At 37.9% G+C, this 22,945-nt stretch overlaps 1 protein-coding gene across 50 annotated transcripts in view, besides 1 other annotated feature; it reads right to left on the bottom strand.

Annotated features, from left to right (window-relative positions):
- Nucleotides 1-22,945, bottom strand: part of BIRC6 (baculoviral IAP repeat containing 6) — a 261,856-nt gene that overhangs the window by 156,944 nt on the left and 81,967 nt on the right. For 25 of the 50 annotated variants that reach the window (XM_006712055.4, XM_005264451.5, XM_047445167.1 and 22 more), the window contains 8 exons: nucleotides 22,249-22,427; nucleotides 20,473-20,606; nucleotides 19,709-19,870; nucleotides 19,480-19,611; nucleotides 18,347-18,444; nucleotides 16,267-16,414; nucleotides 13,007-13,140; nucleotides 7,981-8,127 (listed from right to left, as the gene is read on the bottom strand). In XM_006712055.4, the coding sequence (XP_006712118.1) occupies nucleotides 7,981-8,127; nucleotides 13,007-13,140; nucleotides 16,267-16,414; nucleotides 18,347-18,444; nucleotides 19,480-19,611; nucleotides 19,709-19,870; nucleotides 20,473-20,606; nucleotides 22,249-22,427 (1,134 nt within the window). The remainder of the gene's footprint in view (nucleotides 1-7,980; nucleotides 8,128-13,006; nucleotides 13,141-16,266; nucleotides 16,415-18,346; nucleotides 18,445-19,479; nucleotides 19,612-19,708; nucleotides 19,871-20,472; nucleotides 20,607-22,248; nucleotides 22,428-22,945) is intronic. The other 25 variants (XM_005264450.5, XM_047445165.1, XM_047445159.1 and 22 more) reach the window with 1 other exon arrangement.
- Nucleotides 14,093-14,670: an enhancer, noted in NCBI's record as "NANOG-H3K27ac-H3K4me1 hESC enhancer chr2:32672333-32672910 (GRCh37/hg19 assembly coordinates)". NCBI's record gives its function as "activates a minimal SCP1, AML or CMV promoter by ChIP-STARR-seq in naive H9 embryonic stem cells {active_cell/tissue: H9 hESC(naive)}" and the evidence as "EXISTENCE:reporter gene assay evidence [ECO:0000049][PMID:30033119]".

Below are 22,945 nucleotides of genomic sequence, written 5' to 3'. Positions count from 1 at the left end.
TTAAGCATGGAAGCTACATCAGCTTATTTAATCTCGGCAAGAAAAAAGTATTAAGTACTAACTAGGCAAAGTTTTTGTTGCTACTATTATACGTATGAGGTACAAAAATAATCCCATTTTCTACAAAATGAAACTAAAGCTGAGGGAAGTAATTTGCTCATAGGTAGTGGATAAAGGGGAAAATCCAGGCAATCTAACAGCCCATCTTTTTAAAAGCAAACAAGGGCTATATTGTGCCAGAATTCTAATAAAATTAAAAAATAAGCTAAAATAAACAATATACCAATAACAAAAACTGCACATATCCTCTTATAATTAAATTTCCTTATGTTAAAAAAAAAAAAACACCACTCATTACAGTGCAGTCATACTGTGCCCTTCATTTAGTGGACACAAATTCAACATTGTAAGCTTGGTCAATGAGCAATTGGCTAGGCATGGTGGCTCACGCCTGTAATCCTAACACTTTGGGAGGCTGAGGTAGGTGGATCACTTGAGGTAAGTAGTTCAAGACCAGCTTGGTCAACATGGTGAGACCTTGTCTCTACTAAACACACACACACACACACACACACACACACACACACACACTAGCCAGGCATGGTGGCACAAGCCTCCAATCCCAGCTACTCAGGAGGCTGAGGCATGAGAAACACTTGAACTCAGGAGGTGTAGGTTGCAGTGAGCTGAGATACTGCCACTGCACTCCAGTCTGGGTGATGGAGTTAGAAAAAAGGGAAGGGGAGGGGAGAGGGGAGGGGAGAGGGGAGGGGAGAGGGGAGGGGAGGGGAGGGGAGGGGAGGGGAGGAGAGGAGAGGAGAGGAGAGGAGAGGAGAGGAGAGGAGAGGAGAGGAGAGGAGAGGAGAACAGAAGAGAAGAGAAGAGAAGAGAAGAGAAGAGAAGAGAAGAGAAGAGAAGAGAAGAGAAGAGAAGAGAGCAGAGCAGAGCAGAGCAATTGCATCTCATAAAACATGCGTAGTCCCAAAATAAAATCATCTGCTCCTTCAAGTGTTCCACAGCAAATCGACAGCTATTAATCCCAACAGTCAAGGGGAAACTGTTAGACTTGCTAAATCATTCATACCATGCTTGTATTTTGGGGTAATATATATGGTTTTTAATACTGTGAACATTTACATTTAATTGATTTTAAAATCTAACGCCCAAATAACACAGGGAAAACTAAGTGAATCACTACAAGCAAACAGAAGACGTAAACAATCCAAGGAAAAATAAGCCATCCTGATACTATAGAACTAATCAGAAATCTTTTGCACAATCCGAGTTTTCAATATCTTTTTCTATTTTTATACTACAAAGGGCCTCAAAAACTCTAGTTATAAAAAAATATAGGGCTGGGCCAGGCATGGTGCCTGATGCCTGCAATCCCAGCACTTTGGGAGACCAAGACAGGTGGATCACCTGAGGTCCGGAATTCGAGACCAGCCTGACCAACATGGCAAAACCCCGTCTCTACTAAAAATACAAAAATTAGCTGGGTGTGGTGGTGGGCACCTGTAATCCCAGGTACTGGGGAGGCTGAGGCAGAAGAATCACTTGAACCCGGGAGGCGGAGATTGCAGTGAGCCAAGATTGTGCCATCACTCCAGCCTGGCAACAGAGCGAGACTCCATGTCAAAAAAAAAAAAAAAAAAAAAAAAATATATATATATATATATATATATATATCATATACGAGATATATCATATGAGATATATATATATCATATATGATATATATCACATATGAGATATATATATCTATATCAGATATATCATATATATAATATAATACATATATGAACAAGACCAAGATGAGTACTACTATTACCATTTCTATTCAACAACATATAGGAAGACCTAGGAAGCACAAAATAACACAAGGAAAAAACGACGATAAAATGATGAGAAAGAAAAAAGTAAAACTATTAATAGACAACATGATTGCAACATATTAAAAATTCTCTAAGAAACTGCAAACTATAAACTACTTTTAAAATTAATAATATAGCACTGTCACCAGATGTGACAGTAATATATACAAATCAATTATAGTTTTATACACAAATACCAAATGAATGGAATGATTAAGAGGAAGATCGCTTATAACAACATAACAATTAAATATATAACTAAGAATCTAAAAAAAAAAATGTAAAACTATGTTGAAAACCACAAAGCATAACCAAGAGAAATCAAAGACCTAAATATATTATAGAATATATACCACCAGTGTGTATTCTGGATTTAAGGGGACAGAAAAACACACACACAAGTGTTAATGCATTTAAAAAGTCAATATTAGGATGCCAATTCTCCTAAACTGATTTACATAAAGGCCCTAAATTTTAAAAACAAGTATTTTGTGTAGAAATTGACAAATGAAATCTAAAATTCAAACAGAAATACAAAAGACCTAGAATAGCAACAACAATCTTTAATAAAAAGAATATTTGTAGGTTGTACTCATAGGTACATACCCAAGAGAACTGAAAACACACATTGACCAAAAAACAAAAACAAAAAACAAAACAAAACAAAACCTACACAAACATGTTCACAGCAGCATTAGACATAACAGCCAAAAAGAAGAAATCGCCTAAATCTTTACCCGTAGATGAATGCCTAAACAAAATGGAATATTCAGCCAGAAAAAGGAGTAATGTACTGATACAGGCTAAATGGATGAAACTCCAATCTACTGGTTGCCAAGTGACTGGAAGGGTTTGGGGGGAATGGGAGAAAACGCTAATGGATGAAGAGTTTCTTCCTGTAGTGATGGAAATGTTCTAGAATTAGATAGTGGTGATAACTGCATAACACTGTGAGTTTTATTTTAAAAAAAAATTAGAAAATCAATTTTTAAAACCTACCTAAAAAGAACGTTGGTAGATTTTTACTATCAGATATAAACACTAAGACTATTGTTACGCTAAGACAATAGAGGCTGGGCACGGTGGCTCACGCTTGTAATCCCAGCACTTTGGGAGGCCGAGGCAGGCAAATCACTTGAGATCAGGGATTCAAGACCAGCTGAGCCAACATGGCAAAACCTCATTTATGCTAAACATAAAAAAATTCACTGATGGTGGTGCATGTCTATAATCCCAACTATCAAGAGGTTGAGGTGGAAGAATCACTTGAGCCCAGGAGGTGAGGCTACAGTGAGCCAAGATTGAGCCACTGCACTTCAGCCTGGGATACAGAGTGTCTCACTCTGTATCAGAAAAAAAAAAAAAAAAAAAAAAAAAGGCAATAGAGTATTAACAAAAGGCCAAATAAATGACCAATGAAACAGAAACAGACCCATATATATATATGAGATACTTACTACAGAGGCAACACTGCAGTAAAGTGGGAGCAGAGTAGTTTTCCCATAAATGATTAGATAGCAGAAGATAGAACAAGTATAAAAAAAAGATGGATTAGAAGAAAATATCCATAATTAACTAAGGAGAGATAAAACAATTGAAAATTCTATCAGTTATGATGATGAGATACAACATATATAAAAATGGAGACTCAAAAAGACAGGAGACAAAATAGAGCAGAAGCAATATTTAAAGAGTTAACTGGCTATTTCCCTAAAGCTGTGAAAGGTATCAGCTAAAACTTCAGGAGGCTATCAACTAAAGATTCAAGAAGTCCTATCAATCTGAAGCAGAATAAACACAAATGAAACCACATGTAGAAACATCACAGAAAAATTCTGAAAGCAAAAAAAGGGCAGAAGGGCAATCTCAGAAAGTTTGAGAAATGACCTTTAAAAAGCAATAATAAGACTGACAGATGACTTCGAACAAATACAAACTAAGCTAAGAGACAAGGAAAGATTACCTTTAAATCACCAGTAAAAATAACTAGTAACTTAGAATCCCTATAGAATTCTATATTATATTGTTTAATCATGTATTGAAAATCAGATGACACTGCAAAACTGATTGTTTACAACAACACTGGTTTCATAATAAATTATAATTAATTTAGGTAATTATCAGATATTAGATCTGTTTTGAAGTATTTTGGCAAAGAAAAAAGAATAGACAAATGTGAAAAAATAACAATGATATTGGAATCTGGATAATGGCTATGCTGTTTGTTCATTTGATTATTCATAAAACTTTGAACTTTTTCCCAAAAAACCTAATTGAATGTGTCATCAGTAGATAAGTACAAAAAGAGATCTTAAGAGTATTTTTCAGACCTAAGAAACATCATACCAGATAAAAGCTCAAAGACAAAGGAATAAAAATCAATGAAAATGGAATTATGAGGTAAATCCAAGTGAATACTGAATATAAAAAATTATAATAATGTATCATGGGAATTCATATATACTTCTGGAATCTAGACTATATAATCTGGATTATGAGCATTAATAATGTATTATGGGAAAAAACATATACTTCTGGAATCAGAGTACATACTGTGATCTCAATGATACAATTACTAAAAGAACGGTTCAAGAAAAAAATGGAAAAATTGACCAGTAAAAAATATAATCAGCCCTAAAAACAGAAAAGGAGGAAAAAGAAGCATGTAACCAACCATCAGGACAATGAGAAATAGAATAGTACATATAAAAAATCATGGCAGACTTAAACAGGAATATATCACTAATCACATTAAATGTAACTGAATTAAATTCTCCCATTGAAAGACAAAAATGTCAGGCTGGATTTTTAATAAATGCAACTACATGCCACTTATAAAAAGTATATCTAAAACATAAGGAAACACTGAAAAGTTGAAAGTAAAAAGATGGAAAAATATATACCATACAAATAGCAGCCAAAGAAGGCTGGTGTTAGCTAAGTAAACATCAGACGAGGTAAATCCTCGGAGAAATAGCAAACTTAAAGATAAAAAGATAACTAATGCCAGGTGCAGTGGTGTGTGCCTGCAATCCCAGGTACTTGGGAGACAGGGGCAGGAGGGACATTCGAGCCCAAGACCAGCCTGGGCAACATAGCAAGACCCCATCTCAAAAAATAATAATAAAAGATAATTCATAATGATCGAAGAATTCCCAAGAAAGACACAACCATTCTAAATTTATATGATGGTCTCAAAGTGTATAAAACTTGATGACAAAAAATAAACAAATCTACCATTTTTTAACATACTGGCCTCATTAACTAAAAAACAAACAGGTAAAATAACCAATAAAGATAGAGAATTTGAAGAACACAACTAGCAAACTTGACCAAAAGGATATATAGAGTACACTTCACCAACAAGTGCAGAGTTAACATTATTAAGTATGGATGGAATATTTATAGAATTTGACCCTCTACAATTCTCAACAAATTTGCAAGATCAATACTCTGAGTATTTGACTCCACAGTATTTAAAGAGGAACCAGTAGCAAAAAGGTTACTTACTTACTGAAGCTGAATATATGAATACCCTATGAAGCAGTGAATCAACTTCCACATTCATATTCAAGACAAAAATATATCCATCAGTACTATTAGCTCCACAATGAAACAACTCAAATGTCTATCAGCAGTATACAAACCAATAGTGGATACATAAATTTTGTTGCATTCGGACAAAAGAATCCTAAACAGCAATGAAAAAGAACCAACTGTCTATATGCAATGATATAGATTAATGCCATAATCATAGGATTGAAAAGAAGGCAAACCAAATATACATACATGTGCAATTCTATGTTATACAGACCTTACTCAACCACTGTTCAAGAATGCATCATTAAGTGGTTATTCAAAGAAATAAACAAAAACCAAAAAGTAACTACTCCAAAAGGATGATGTTTAGCTTCTGGAGAAAATGAGGAAGAAATAAATGGAAGTGGTCACGAAGACACCTTTTGGGGTGCTGGAAATGTTCTTTCTTTACTTATTGGTCATCACACAGACAATGTGTATCATGATAAACTGCCGAGCTATGCAATTATTTTCTGCACTTTTCCGCATAGATATTATATTAATATTAACATGTTTCAAAAAAGTAAACAGGATTGAGAGACTACAATCATCTTTCAGCTCCTTATAATCACTAGTCAGCACTTTGCCTCAACATTTAATAAAAATCTCTCTTTAGGCAGTTTCATTTTGGGTGAAATAAAGAGGTGATGGCATATATATACACAGACTAGCCCTGTAAAGACAAGAAACTCGTTCCATTGCTTGCTTTGCAGGGGGAGAAATGGGTGGGGAGTGTGGAGAAAAACTTTTTCAAACCTAACCTTTTATCTTTTAAAAATTATGTGCCTTTTGCAAACACATGAATTTTTGTAAAATAAAATAAAAATCCAGGATACTTAATTTCTTTTTCTTTTTGAGACGGAGTCTCACTCTGTCACCCAGGCTAGAGTGCAGCGGCACAATCTCAGCTGACTGCAACCTCCACCTCCCAGGTTCAAGCAATTCTCGTACCTCAGCCTCCCAAGAAGCTGGGACTACAGGCAGGTGCCTGCCACCACACCCAGCAATACTTTTTGTATTTTTAGTAGAGACGAGGTTTCGCCATGTTGACCAGGCTTGTCTCAAACCAGGCTACTTAATTTTTTTTTTTTTTTTTTTTTTTGGAGACAGAGTCTTGCTGTTTGCCCAGGCTGGAATGCAGTAGCGCGATCTCAGCTCACTGCAAGCTCCACCTCTCACGTTCACGCCATTCTCCTGCCTCAGCCTCCTGAGTAGCTGGGACTACAGGCACCACCACCATGCCCAGCTAATTTTTTTTGTATTTTTTAGTAGAGACGGGGTTTCACTGTGTTAGCCAGGATGGTCTCGATCTCTTGACCTCATGATCCGCCCACCTTGGCCTCCCAAAGTGCTGGGATTACAGGCATGAGCCACCGCGCCAGGCCCAGGATAATTAATTTCAATACAGTTCCACGAAAGGTCCTGATTTATAATAAAATAATTTTCTGAAAGTTCAAATTTTTTGTCATGGCATGTTTCTATTCTAGTGTAAATGTAAAAGTTTCTACAAAATGACTATATAGTCCAAGAAAACAAATACAAATTAATTCTGACCTTTCTAGAATCACCATATAAAGGAAATATTAGGTTTTTAATCTAAAAAGCTCATATTCACTACATAAACTGTGAATTTCACTTAGTAGCTACCTCCACAATTGGATATATAAGGCAATTCCTAACAAAAAGACACTCAAATAAAGAACTGATAAATTCCTTTTAAAACCTCCTGCTATTCTGGAACCAGCTAAGATTATATTTTTCACGACTTCTCTAGCAAACCGTTTTTGCTTTTTGTTAAACTGTTGAGGAGACTAAGATGGTACCCAATGACACAAAACCATCAACAGAAGAATCACGTTAAGACAACAGTCAAACCCTTCAGTGACTAATACAGATATAAAATCATAAACCAATCTTAACTGAAAGACTTCTATTATTTATGCTGCAATAGAAGTAACTGTAAATAAATACCGATCTTCCTACGTGAGAAGGAAAAAAAAAATCACAGAAAACAAGAAAGAAAATAAACAAGTTTCCACTGATTGATGGTCAAAAACTTAATTTTTAAGTGAAGGTATTTAACACACCAAGAACATCACATATTCAACAAACCCAAATAGTTCCTCACATATTCAAGGTTGTTTTAAACTAGTTCGAGAAACAGTATTCCCTCTTTACTCATCTCAACCTTCTCAAAAACATCATTCAGTAGTAGAAACACGTAGTCTATTTTTACTCTTCCATTTCCAACATATTTGATATTTTTCAAATTAAAAAATTTCTGAAAGTGCATACACATAAAAACAGAATGATTTAAGACACTGTTCTAAGTGGGTACAGGGGGAAAAATAACCCTGTGAATTGACTTAGGAAAGAATATAAAACGATTTATATTTCCCCCAAATGCCCCTCCCACAAATAAATTTCCACTTAACAGCAATGAAAATTACATAATTAGAAATAATGTTTAAATATATAAATATCACTTTATTACTGCATAAAGTATATAATAAAAGAAGGTATATACCAGTAAACGTACTTGCATCATCCCTTTCTATTCTGGTTCCATCACTAGTTGACACACAAGTAAAGTGCAGAGGTTCAACTTCCAAAAGTCCAGTGAGAGATGTGAAACTACCCTCAGCAGCTGTGCAACTACTGACCTTTCCATTTCCTAATGGCAAAAGACAAGTTTTATAACACGTGAAGATAATTTTTAAAAAGCAATAGTCACAACAATAATTATAGCTGCAACTTCAATTTTAATTAGAACATATAAATACACAACTCTTACACAGTGCTTGAATCATGGGCATGGTATTAAGAAAACTGACAAAACAGCAGGCACGAGTTTCCCTGCTACAAAAGCAGATTTGGATAAAAGCAACTTAGTAGCTCCTCACATTAACAGAAACATGAGTGGTAGTTTCCTGTAACATGAAACTTACATTTAGTAACAAGTGATTTCAATCTCAAATGGGGTGAAAAATTTCAATCTCAAATGGGGTGAAAAAAGTAGTAAATCAGCTAGTCACATTAGCTATCACCTAATCTGTTGGCTATATGTAAAATCAGAATACATTCTAAGATGTCAACTGCATAAATATAAGACACAAAACAAAGGATGAACATTTCAAAATATTAACAAGGTTTATCTACACATTGTTTCTTGTATTTTGTTCATATTATCAGTTTTATAGAATGAGGCACACTACTTCATGGTCATAAAAATAGTTTAAGCTAGCATAAGTAGTTTTTAAAAGAAAAAACCATGTAGCCACAACTATATGACCAATAAAACCACAGCAAGAAGTCTAGAGGGAAGAACACAAATGAATTCACAGGGACTGCGTATGCAGCTTGGGAAGGCAAGGATTATATTCACTACTTTGCAATTTTTTTTTTTTTTTGGAATTAGCACTCATTTAAACAGAATTATTTAAATCACAAAGCAAAACAGAATTCACAGATGAAAAGAATGGGGAGGTATAAAAACTGTCATTAACAGCTGAAGGACTATCAAACACAAGAATAAACTGTCATAACCTTGTTTTCCAATGTCTTATTGGGGGTCAGCATAGGGCCTGACACATGCTCCAAAAAATGCTTATTGCACACTTACTCAATACAAGAATTGGGAGACAGAAGAATAAAAGGTAAGTCCCAGTCCTCACGAAGACTATATTCTATGTTAGTGGTTATTAGGAATTAACGCAACTTTTTTTTAAGCTGCAAGGTTTTACTTAAGAGAAATTTAAAGGACTAGTAAGTCAAGGGGCAATCAGTCCTAAGTTATGGGATAATAAAATGCTTCTCTAACAAAATGAGGGGATTCATAGGAAGAATAAGAGAGTTTCATACATTTGCTCCCTTGAAGTGGCAGAAAAGCCATGCAGAAAGAACATGAGTGAAATCCCCATAGCAAAGAAACATGGCACATTTAAGGAACTGAAAGAACAATATGCCTAGAGGAACAGTTCTCAATTCTAAGATCCCTCTACATATCTTTAAAATATTAAGCACCCTGAAGAGCTTTTGTTTCCTTGTTTTACTGGTATTTACCATAGTAGAAATTTCAAGGTGTGAAATTTAAATATTAATTCATTTAATAATAAACCCATTAAATGTTAAAATAGCATAATTTGATGAAAAATAACTGTTTTCTGAAGAAAAAAATAATTTAATGAAAAAAGTGACAATGTTTTACCTATTTAAAAATCTCTTTAAAATGTGAAGTATCAGAGGATACTTGGATTCTCCTACCTGCCTCCGTATTCGACGTGTTATAAAATGTTGTTTTAGCAGAAGTGGGTGAAAACATCTGACCCAACACAAATATGTAGTTGGAAAAAGAATATTTTAAAATGCTTGCATATTCAAAAACTTGACAAGTGGTAATTTCTTAAAGGTTACAATGTGGTATCTGAAATCTTACCAATGAACTTCTCAAACTCTGTTACATTAAGATCAACTGATATATTTTATACTTTTAAAGAACTTTACCCATGCATACTGGTGAAACATCATGCATTGATCATTTGGAAAATATTGGTTCACCACTGTATACAAATATTCCAAATGTTGACACATTTCATTATCCAGTATTGGAAAATTACACTCTCTAATATCAGACTCCATGAGAAAAGTCTACATACTGGGAAGCTATCAAGCTCACTATGGGAGATGTTTCTCATTCACTTTTCAAAAAACAACTGTCAAATAACGCAGTGCAAATGGGCGTAGTTTGTCTGTCAGTCATTACTGCAAATAAAAATGGTATTCCAAGAAACAAGCAAGTAGTTCAGCTTGTAACTGAACTTCACATCTCCCTGAAACAAGCATGGTACTTTGGCATGCCACAGAAGTACTCTATGCATATGTATCATTCATCTCAGAATAAAAGATGTGTATTCATGGGTTAAAATTTTAATAAAATTAATAATTTTTACTGCAACGTCAAGGGCATTTTAAAATGAAACCGACATTTTTATTACAAGTGCACAGTGAATAACACCATGCTTTTTCACAATCGATAAAAATGTCAACGAAATCAAAAAGACAAATAACATCATTCTACTATCATCAAAATAGTTATGACCATATAGATCCCCTTAATGATCTCAGGAACCCTTTGGGGGTCTATAGAACACACTTTGAGAATCACAGGGCCAAAAAAGACTAAACGGGGCAATGACACAAGATAAAGTGGCAAGGAAAAGAGAGCCAAATCATTTAGGATTTTATATGCTGTATTAGAAACTTTGAACTTCAGAAGATGGGAAGACCTGAAAAGTACTCTAAGGAGAAAGGTAAAGTAACTGAAAGATCATACTCAATGCAATGTGGAGAATGCACTAAAGTGAGGCAAGAACAGATGTAGGCAGACCAGTGTGAAAGCTATGATTGTAGTATGGGTTCAAGATGACTGTAACTTGTGATCATGGGAGGTAACAGAGTGAGCAAACTTGACATACACTCAGCTCTCTGTATCTGTGGGTTTGGCATCCATGGATTCAACCAACTACAGACAGAAAATATTCAGGGGAAAAAAATGAATGGCTGAGTCTGTTACAGCCTTTTTTTCTTGTCATTATTCCCTAAACAATACAGTATAAGAAGTACTCATGTAGCATTAACATCGTATTAGGTATTATAAGTGATGTAGAAATGATTTAAGGCACACAGCAGGATGTGTGTAAGTTATACACAAACTGCACTACATCATTTTTCATAAGGGACTTGAGTATCTACAGATTTTGTTGTCTGCGAGGAGTCCTGGAACCAATTCCCCACGGATAGAGAGGAACAACTGCATACACTGGTGGAAAAATAGGTGCCATATGGTGATATCCTCAATGTGGGTGATAAGAAAGATATAAGTATCATGAATGACATTTACATTTCTGTCTTGTGCCACTGATGCCATTAACAACAACAACAAAAAATGCTGTAGAGAGACTAATAATGAGGAACAACACAATGAGACATTAAAGTGGAGACATATCATGATTTTTTTTTTTGAGGCGGAGTCTCACTCTTTCGCCCGGGCTGGAGTGCAGTGACGCTATCTCAGCTCACTGCAAGCTCTGCCTCCCGGGTTCACGCCATTCTCCTGCCTCAGCCTACAGGTGCCCATCACCGCATTTGGCTAATTTTTTGGCATTTTTAGTAGAGACGGGGTTTCACCGTGTTAGCCAGGATGGTCTCGATCTCCTGACCTCGTGATCTGCCCACCTCAGCCTCCCAAAGTGCTGGGATTACAGGCGTGAGCCACCGTGCCCGGCCGACATATCATGATTTCTAAATTCCTTGTTCTGAGTCTTCTTTACTCATTTGCAAACTTGATGACCTCAGAGCTTGGAATGAACCTTACAGTCCTTCCCTTACGCTTTCACCCTAACAGATTTCACTGCTTCTTTTGGTATACTGAAGGCATTGGTATCTCCAGTTCTAGTCTCTCCTACTAGTTCCAATCATAAATTACAATGGTCTAATTGATGCATCACTTGGATAGAGAAGACAGAAAATGGTGAGATGCGTGTAAGGCAATCAAGAGCCTAAGTCATCAAATAGTAATAACACATATATTCAAGGCAGCATAAGCAATTAAAAAGCAAGTGACAGACCAGTATGTGTAGTATGCTCTTTCATTAGAAACTATATTAACGAATACAGGTTGCAAACAAGTTTAAATAGCTAAACATCCAGTTAACAATAGTAACCTAAGAGGGTGGAAAGGTTGGGGTTGAGGCATTTTACATTTCATTTATATTTTTGTATTTGATCTTTTTAATTTTGCTTTTATTACACCTCATAAGTTACTTTTCAACAAAATTGAACTTCTCTCTCAAAATTTACTTATATCTGGTTATTACCTTAATCTGTTTGCAAATTTTCTAACATTTTTGTATCCTAACAACATCTGCAATAAGTACAATTAGACGGAAGAAAAAAATGAAATGGTCACTCTTTTATCTAACAAAAATAAACAGCAAATTTTAGCACTTAAAAAGATTATAAAAATAGTGTCATGCATACATCCGAAAAACACATTCTTTAGAAAGTATAAAAGGATATACGTAATGTATACAAAGCTTACCTCAAGAAAGTGACAGATGCAGAAAATTATCTTTTGTTTGTGCATCCTTATTACAGTAAGTATATATTACTAATTTTGTATTTTTGAAATAGGAAATCTTTTTTAACTTTATAGAGGCAGCAAAGATACATCAAATAAAACTGAAAAGGCTACAACAAATACATTTTAAATAGTCTCATAAGCATTAAAATCACACTGAAATGAAATGCATAACAAAAACAAAAAATTAAAGTCACAACCCTTTCAAATATGACTTTAATATACTGGGATTTTCTTCAGAGGGAAAGAGGAAGTTAAGAACTTCTAGGAAACATTTTAATAATTCATATGATAAGTTCTAAGGAATTTTAGTTTTCTAAAGACAAAACATCATGACTATAATCTATTAAGTCAAATGGCAACTTAAATCCAAGATACAACATTCAGAATTTCCTTTAATAAAAGAAATCACTACCTGAAAGGACATCTGATAAATCAATTTCATCTGACTGGACACCAATGCTGCTGTTATAAACATTTTTACAAGAAGAGCCACTCATCTCCAAATCAAAGAGGACTGGATCAAATGGTGAGCTATATAATCCATATCTGAAAAATAAAATAATGCACTAACAATTTTCCTTTCAGCCATCTAATTAACAAATTACCTTTACTTAGTTTTAAAAGCAGTCTGACTAACAGCGCAGAGGGCTCTCCCTCTCCCCTCTCCCCTCTCCCCTCTCCCCTCTCCACGGTCCCCTTCCACGGTCTCCCTCTGATGCCGAGCCGAAGCTGGACTGTACTGCTGCGATCTCGGCTCACTGCAACCTCCCTGCCTGATTCTCCTGCCTCAGCCTGCCGAGTGCCTGCCATTGCAGGCGCGCGTCGCCACGCCTGACTGGTTTTCGGTTTTTTTTGGTGGAGACGGGGTTTTGCTGTGTTGGCCGGGCTGGTCTCCAGCTCCTAACCGCGAGTGATCCGCCAGCCTCGGCCTCCCGAGGTGCCGGGATTGCAGACGGAGTCTCGTTCACTCAGTGCTCAATGGTGCCAAGGCTGGAGTGCAGTGGCGTGATCTCGGCTCGCTACAACCACCTCCCAGCCGCCTGCCTTGGCCTCCCAAAGAGCCGAGATTGCAGCCTCTGCCCGGCCGCCACCCCGTCTGGGAAGTGAGGAGCGTCTCTGCCTGGCCGCCCATCGTCTGGGATATGAGGAGCCCCTCTGCCTGGCTGCCCAGTCTGGAAAGTGAGGAGCGTTTTTGCCCGGCCGCCATCCCATCTAGGAAGCGAGGAGCGCCTATTCCCCGCCGCCATCCCATTTAGGAAGTGAGGAGCGTCTTTGCCCGGCCGCCCATCGTCTGAGAGGTGGGGAGCACCTCTGCCCCGCCGCCCTGTCTGGGATGTGAGGAGCGCCTCTGCCCGGCCGCCCCGTCTGAGAAGTGAGGAAACCCTCTGCCTGGCAACCGCCCCGTCTGAGAAGTGAGGAGCCCCTCCGTCCAGCAGCCACCCCGTCTGGGAAGTGAGGAGCGTCTCCGCCCGGCAGCGACCCCGTCCGGGAGGGAGGTGGGGGGATAGGGGGGCCCGCCCGGCGAGCGGCCCCGTCCGGGAGGTGAGGGGCTCCTATGCCCGGCCGCCCCTACTGGGAAGTGAAGAGCCCCTCTGCCCGGCCAGTCGCCCCGACCAGGAGGGAGGTGGGGGGGGTCAGCCCCCCGCCCGGCCAGCCGCCCAGTCCGGGAGGGGGGAGGGGGGGTCAGCCCCCTGCCCGGCCAGCCGCGCCGTCCGGGAGGGAGGTGGGGGGATCAGCCCCCCGCCTGGCCAGCCGCCCCGTCCGGGAGGTGAGGGGCGCCTCTGCCCGGCCGCCCCTACTGGGAAGTGAGGACCCCTCTGCCCGGCCAGCCGCCCCGTCCGGGAGGGAGGTGGGGGGATCAGCCCCCCGCCCGGCCAGCCGCCCAGTCCGGGAGGGAGGTGGGGGGTCAGCCCCCCGCCCGGCCAGCCGCCCCGTCCGGGAGGGAGGTGGGGGGATCAGCCCCCCGCCCGGCCAGCCGCCCCATCCGGGAGGTGAGGGGCGCTTCTGCCCGGCCGCCCCTACTGGGAAGTGAGGAGCCCCTCTGCCCGGCCACGACCCCGTCTGGGAGGTGTGCCCAGCGGCTCATTGGGGATGGGCCATGATGACAATGGCGGTTTTGTGGAATAGAAAGGCGGGAAGGGTGGGGAAAAAATTGAGAAATCGGATGGTTGCCGGGTCTGTGTGGATAGAGGTAGACATGGGAGACTTTTCATTTTGTTCTGTACTAAGAAAAATTCTCCTGCCTTGGGATCCTGTTGATCTGTGACCTTATCCCCAACCCTGTGCTCTCTGAAACATGTGCTGTGTCCACTCAGGGTTAAATGGATTAAGGGCGGTGCAAGATGTGCTTTGTTAAACAGATGCTTGAAGGCAGCATGCTCGTTAAGAGTCATCACCACTCCCTAATCTTAAGTACCCAGGGACACAAACACTGCGGAAGGCCGCAGGGTCCTCTGCCTAGGAAAACCAGAGACCTTTGTTCACTTGTTTATCTGCTGACCTTCCCTCCACTATTGTCCTATGACCCTGCCAAATCCCCTTCTGCGAGAAACACCCAAGAATGATCAATAAAAAAAAAAAAAAAAAAAAAAAAAAAAAAAAACAGCGCAGAGGGAGATGCTGACTAGATTTGACCCATCAAATTCAGTGAATCTCAACTATGTTCCCTGCAATCTATACTCTAAAAGACACTGTCCAGAGACTCAACAAATGTGATTCCAATAAGCTGGCAACTAAGGTACTAAGACTGCCACCTGCAGATTGAAGCGAGGGGTATCAGGCACCATTCTCTCCCGTGAATCATTACGACATAGCCTCAAGTACAAAGGCTTTGAGTAAAATGTCATCAAAATCAGAACATCTAACCTAGGAAATTATAAAATCACTGCTCTAAATAAAGGAACGCCTTACTTCAAACGTAGACAATCAGGCAAGAACTTAAATCTAACCTTTTGCTATTGCTTAATTCATCACGTTAGAAGTTTTGAAATACAAGTAGCAGGTAGAAGAATACTAGTTATGGGACAATAAGTGACTCACATAATTCCACCTATAAAGTGCACAGAGAAACAGACACATTACATTCTTCTTCCATTAGCAGGGCATACCACTTTTCATTATTAAATAAAATTAGCCCTCTGAATAACCATCATAAGGATTTATCAAACTGTTAAAGAGTAATTTCTGGCCGGGCACGGTGGCTCATGCCTGTAATCCCAGCACTTTGGGAGGCTGAGGCGGGCGGATCAACTGAGGTTGGGAGTTTGCGAACAGCCTGACCAACATGAAGAAACCCCGTCTCTACTAAACATACAAAATTAGCCAGGCCTGTGGTGCATGCCTGTAATCCCAGCTACTCGGGAGGCTGAGGCAGGAGAATCGCTTGAACCCGGGAGATGGAGGTTGTGGTGAGCTGAGATCACACCATTGCACTCCAGCCTGGGCAACAAGAACAAAACTCCATCTCGATAAAAAAAAAAAAGAGTAATTTCTGACAAAACAGAAGAAAGTAAAACCTCAGGCTATTATCGTATGGAAAAAGTAAGGTATAAACTAAACATTTTTGTAAGAAAAAGACTGTTATCAGCATATATATATTAAATAACAGTTCTCTGCAAAAGCGTGATCATACTCAGAGACGCCTATTATTAGTCATTAGATATACTAAAATACCTTGTCTGAAGTAAAGCCTCCATTGGTGTTAGCCTGTCCTGTAACTGTCTGGACACTGCAGTAAGCAAAGATGCACAAGCTGTACTGCATCCAGCCAGATCTTCATCTTTCACATAATTCAGTAAGACAAAATACCAATAGACAGAACCTGGAAACAATAAAAACAAAATAAATGTTTCTTTTTCCTCCTTTTCCTCTAACAATGAGAATTTAAGATTACCTATTTATCAGAATACTTCCTTTTGCTAGAAAGATACTCCCTTTTCTGGAAAGACAATCTTATAGGCAATTTACAAAGATAACTCCTTGGAGGGATCAAAGAGGACACTTAAAATATAAACAACACACTGAGGCACAGTCTTACACTAAGAATTTCAAATATTTCTGGAGAGTTTTATAAAGTCATTTAGGTGTATAATAATGTGTATTTATTTAGGTGTATAATAATGTGAGATGCCTCTGAGGGACACTTCGAAATAGCTGAAAAAGTGAGGAGACTGAAGGTCCTTCAAATCATCCTTACCAACATACTGTTTCTCTGTACTAAACTTTAAAAAATAGTGGATGGCAGTGAGCTTCAAACAGCCCATTTTAGTGAATGAATGGGGAATAAAATTATTCTATAATGCGTTAGGTACAGATCGACATTGCTTAAAAGATTATCATGACAGTGTATTTTTACTTTTATTAACTGCTACATACATGCCAAAACTTAAGCGTCCCAACTTTAAAACTATCCTTAAGAAGCTTTTAAACATTAGAGACTATCGTAATGAGCAACTGAGTCAAAATGTTCTATTCCATAGAGTTAATGGTTGTAGCCAAAATATGTTCAATGTAAATATAAACACGCTTTACCTAAATTAAGAAAATGATATAACTTTTCAACAACTCTAAACAAGCATTTTTTTTGTTTAACACAAAGATGAAATCTTTATGAAATATATAACTCACTGAGGTAACTTGTTGAATGGGTTGTTTTTTTAAACTCCTGGCCTCAAGCAATCCTCCCTCCATGGCCTCCCGAAGTGCTGGGATTACAAGTGTGAGCCACTGTGCCCAGCCTGAATGGTTTGTTTTTTAATAAAACAGATTGTGAAAAATGTCTATCAATAAATAAAATTTGGCTTAAAAGGCCAAGTTAGTAGCCCTTCATAGTAACACCATGTACTAGCAAAAACAGTAAGAATCTTTAAAAATCTTCATTACCTTATATATGTGCTATTTTAGAGAACTGCTTTATGAATTCCTACTTGATAACTACCTTCATTCTTTTTTGATACATAATAATTGCACATATATAGGGGGTATATGTGATGTTTTGAAATATGGATGCAATGCACAATGATCAAACCAGGGTATTTAGGATATCCATCACCTCTCTGCATTGGGAACACTTTAAATCTTTTAACTATTCTGAAATATACCACAAATTACAGTCACCCTACTGTGCTATCAAACACTAGAACTTATTTCTTCTAACCATATGTTCATACTAATTTATCAACCTCTCTTCAAATCCCACTCACCCTCCCAGACTCTGGTATCCATCATTCTACTCTCTACCTCCAATTACATTCATTCTTGAAAGGCATTTCCACAGAGTCCTCAGGTGCTTTAAAAAAAAAAAAAAAAAACCACTGGTCCCTTTTAGGAAATTCCAGTTTGCCATAGTCCCTACCAATCACACAAAACATATGCATGTGCAATGACACCTGGACCGTTTTACTTATTTATGTCACCTCCCTGGCACATGCTGGAATTCTGGTTTCTGGCATCTGATCTGTTACAGTCAGTAAACAACCAAACAACTCAATGATTGTAATGAAGTACAGAAAAATAGTTATGAATTGAGATGACTTGATATTAACGTAACTGCTCCATGAACCTTTTCCTTGGAGTACTATTGACGGAGTATATGACCACCCAGCTACAATCTATCGATCCCTTCAAAAAATACAGATAAGCCACAGAAAAGTGAACTTTAATAGAGAAAAAGTAGTTATGAAATAATCCTAAGTATACATATGAGATGTTCCATATGACTATAACTATTTGTGATTAAATTAATTTTACATACCACCAGTTGTTGCTGCAGGTAAAAATGACATATTATCAAGTAAAGCCTTCAACAGAACAGGTCCAAATGCTGGTTGACATGGGTCACATTTGCCATTACTGAAAAATTTTTAAAAAGAAAAATTGTAAAGACATTACTCAAGGTCTAAATTCAACCCTAAACCTGGTGTGGTACCTAAAAATCTTTAAAATGTATTCTATACCGATTAAAAGAAAAACCTGCCTTAAAGCTATATAAAATACCAAAAGATAGCGGGAACTGATTATACTAAGGAGGGTTGTAAATATTTTCTTATGCATTAAACCCTTATCTTTACAACAGTCAATACTGACCATTAGCTCTTAGACACTTCCTAGATACAGTAGCAAGTAGGAACCTTTAAACATTAAGAACCCGTATATGCAGTTTCAATTTCTAAAGTTTCAGTTACACATGGTCAAGTGCAGTCTAAACACAGGTGAGTACAGTACAATAAGACATGTTGAGAGACCACATTCATGTAACTTTTATCATAGTATATTATTATAACTGTTCTATTTTATTAGTAGTTATTGTTAATCTCTTACTATGCCTAGTTTATAAATTAAACTTTATTGCAGGTATGTATATATAGGAAAAAACAATACTATATATATGGCTCAGTACTAGCTACAGTTTCAGGTCTCCACTGGGGAGGGGAGGGGTCTTGGGACACATGCCCTGGGGATCAGGGCAGACTGTTCTAATTTGTTTCAGGGTTTAGAAAAAAAGGGTCTGCACAATGCTACAAAAAAAAGTCGGTAAGATTGTTACATAACAGAGAAAACACTTTAGGGCAAGAAAAGACAACCAAGGAAAGTAGGAGTGAAAAGGGTTTAAGAGTTCCCTTGCCAAATTCTCCAAACTGCTACTAACAGGCAGAGAAGCTCAGCAGACTTCTTTTCTTAAAAGTTAAATAGACTTATTTAACATGACACTTTCCCCTAAGAACCCAAAATTCTTGCTAAGATTATCAACAATCTTCATCAACTTTTGAAATTCTCTTAAATTATACATACATTAAACAAGGATCAAATCACACTATAAACAAGGTATCACCCACTAAATTGCAGGTGTACCTAGAAAGTATGCTTTCAACTTAAAAACATACCAACCTAATGCACAAGGCTAGAAATCGGGCACACTTATGGGCTATACTTCGTCCTGCCTCAAAGAAGCAAACACGTACGATGTCTGACAGAAATTTTCGTGTTTTTGAAAGTAGGTTCTCATTTCCTTCCTTTGAGCTGCAAAACAATAGCAGACATTTAGACTCATCCTGAACTTTCAATCATAACATCTAAAAGGCAATCAACAGTGGTAAGCAAAATTTTAATTATTAACCTTCCGGGTCCATTTGAATGAACTCCAGCTAACCAACAGAGAGTATCCAACACAAGGCTCTGGGCATGTTCTGTGATCTGGCCATCATCTGTTTTTCTGCAAAGAGTATTAAGAAGCTTCTCATGAAATTCTGAAAACTGTAACATGGCACATCGTTGCACTCTACAAAAAAAGAAAATATAAACACATTACCAAACAAAACAGAACAACTAAAGCTATCACAACCTGGCTGGAAAGGCAATGTTTAATTTTAATTCATGAACATCTCAAGTACATTTAAAAACAATCAATAGCTATATGTCAAGTATTTCATTTGTAGAAAATTTTTTAATAACATTTACAATAATGTGTTGTAATGTAACATGGAATGTGTATAATTTCTTTTTGTTTTGTTTTTTTTCTCCAGAGATTGGGTGTCCCTCTGTTGTCCAGGCTGGACTCAAACTCCTGGGTTCAAGTGATCCTCCTACCCCCACGTCTTGAGTAGCTAGGACTATAGATACATGCTCCCTTGCCTGACGAGTACGTGTCAAATTAATAACTATCATCCATTCCTGCTATACAACAAGCACTGTGCGGACACTAGAGATAAACCAATGAAGTATAAAGACAACTCATATTCTCATCAAAATTATAATTATTTAAGAAAAATGGACAAAAAAAATTTTCAGGTAAAAGATTTTTTATTTGTGTGTGTATGTGTGTGGTGTTATGCTCTGCACTTTCATTACTGTAAGAATAACAAGATAATGCAATGAAATTACCTTTCCTTAGAAATTGAGGTTTTCTTAAATCTTCGAATGGTGACTGAGACCTCTTGAAGTAAATCACAGCCCCGGAGGTTTTCAGATTTACGGGTGCCACTTGTATTTTCATTCTTAACATTAGATGATTTTTCCTAAACATTACAAATAATAATGAATTTTAAAAAATAAACTAAACTAAAAATCATTTACCATTGAAGTTATAAAATAAAGGAAAATAACTGAATTGTGGCCATCAAAATATAAATCTCAAGTTAAAATGATAGCTTGTACCCTCATATTCAGTAAATGACTAATTTTCTCCAGAATTATAATAGGGGAAAAAAAGACAGACACAGCCACTATTTTAAAGGCAATAACCCAATGATTACAGATGATAAAACCAAAGTCCTGGGTCTAATTCCGCTGGGTGCAGTGGCTCAGGCCTGTAATCCCAGAGCTTTGGGAGGCCGAGGCAGACAGATCACAGAACTCAGGAGTTCGAGAACAGCCTGACCAACACAGTGAAACCCTATCTCTACCAAAAAATACAAAAGTTAGCCAAGCATGGGTAAGTGCCTTTAATCCCACTACTTGGGAGGCTAAGTCAAGAGATTCACTTGAACTCAGTGGGTGGAGGCTGCAGTGAGCTGAGATCACATCACTGCACTCCAGCCTGGGCAACAGAGCAAGACTCTGACTCAATAATAATAATAATAATAATAATAATAAATAAATAAACACAATAAAATAAAATAACTACGTGAGATATGTCAGGCTCCCCAATCGCTAAGGTTCACTCACTTTCAGTATTTAAAAAAGGGAGGTAACAGAACCTGCTATGCCTACTTCAGAGTTATAATGAAGATTACATCAGATAAAGTACACAGAAGTCCTTGAAAAACTGGAAGACCTATATATATGTAAAATGCCTGGTATTACTGATCAGTATCAGTATGATTCCTTATAAATAATGATGATAAACAAAACCTCCTTCCTGACTTCCAGGAAATCCAAGATAAGTCAATTGTAAGGAGCTGCATGGTTCACAGCTACTTTCAGAAAATCAACCATGAGGATTAGAACCTGTCTTAAAATTACGCCCCAACTTCTCTTTCTGTATACTCCCAAATAGTCACCAAAAACAAGATTGTGAGTTGCCAACAGAGGGCATATGAAGAAACTCTCATACCAAAAGAAATAAATATTATGGTCTAAAATAATTATAAAGGGAAATATCTGCTAACAATTACTCCCTATTCAGTATACATTACAAAAGCTAGGTAATTTGCCTAAAGTTAATTCAGGCTGGGTGCAGTGGCTCACGCCTGTAACCCCAGCACTTTGAGAGGCCAAGGTGGGCAGATCACCTGAGGTTAGGAGTTGAGACCAGCCTGGCCAATATGGTGAAACCCCGTCTCTACTACAAAGACAAAAATTAGCTGGGCATGGTGGCACACGCCTGTGATCCCAGCTACTAGGGAAGTTGAGGTGGGAGGATGGCTTGAATCTGGGAGGCAGAGGTTGCAGTGAGCCGAGTTTGCGCCACTGCATTCCAGCCTGGGGGAAAGAGTGAGACCCCGTCTCAAAACTCTAAAATAAATAAAATGAAATAATAAAGTTAACTCAAACATTCTTCTTCCCAAATATATTTAAGTCACTCCAAAGACAAAATACAAACAAACCAAGCGTATAGTAAAACATCACTGAAAGGTCATACTACTTCTAATAGTGTGTTAAATCTGATCCACAATGTTTAAAACTGTATTGTTATTGTTCAAAATGACAGTTTCATACCTTGCCTGCTGCAACTTTAGCCAAAAGTGAAGCAAGTGAATAACCCTTGTTACTCTGGTGTTTTAGGGATGGAAGCCTTACTACAGGACGCATACCACCATTACAAATCTCTTCTGTTCCTCTTTCATTCACTGCCTTGACATGGATTAAAAACGAACGATATTTTCCTCCTGCCATACCTAGAGAAGTGGAGTAGAATGGGGAAAATAACTGAATCACCAATAAATTCCACTGTTTTTCATCTTCATAGAACAAGATCAACAACTAACTCCACAAAAAGTACAGTAGGCCAGAACTTTCAAATTATACTGTTTGAGCAGAAGAAAGTTGAACCACCTTCACACGCTGTCAGCAAAAAACAACCAACAAAGGAATGATATGAATAGCATAAAACCATTATCTTTGACTAATTGAGATAAACATTTGGCATGTTTTTTCCCCAATATTATTCATTTTAATGGTAAAAATGTCATCAACTACACACACACATACACACGCACACACACACACAAAACTGTCATTAAGCTATCATCTAGATAATAACAGAACGTATATCCATCCAGTCTTCTTATGCATACATGTACACACATCCATATATATGTGCACATATACACATAGCATTATAGTACTGACGGTTAAAAATGTGCATGCAGGCTTTGGAGTCACTACCTGGGTTTGAAAAATGGCTCTGCCATTT

Source organism: Homo sapiens, chromosome 2 (genome assembly GCF_000001405.40).
Source record: "Homo sapiens chromosome 2, GRCh38.p14 Primary Assembly".
Taxonomy (NCBI): domain Eukaryota; kingdom Metazoa; phylum Chordata; class Mammalia; order Primates; family Hominidae; genus Homo; species Homo sapiens.
This window is presented reverse-complemented; position numbering and strand designations above follow the sequence as displayed.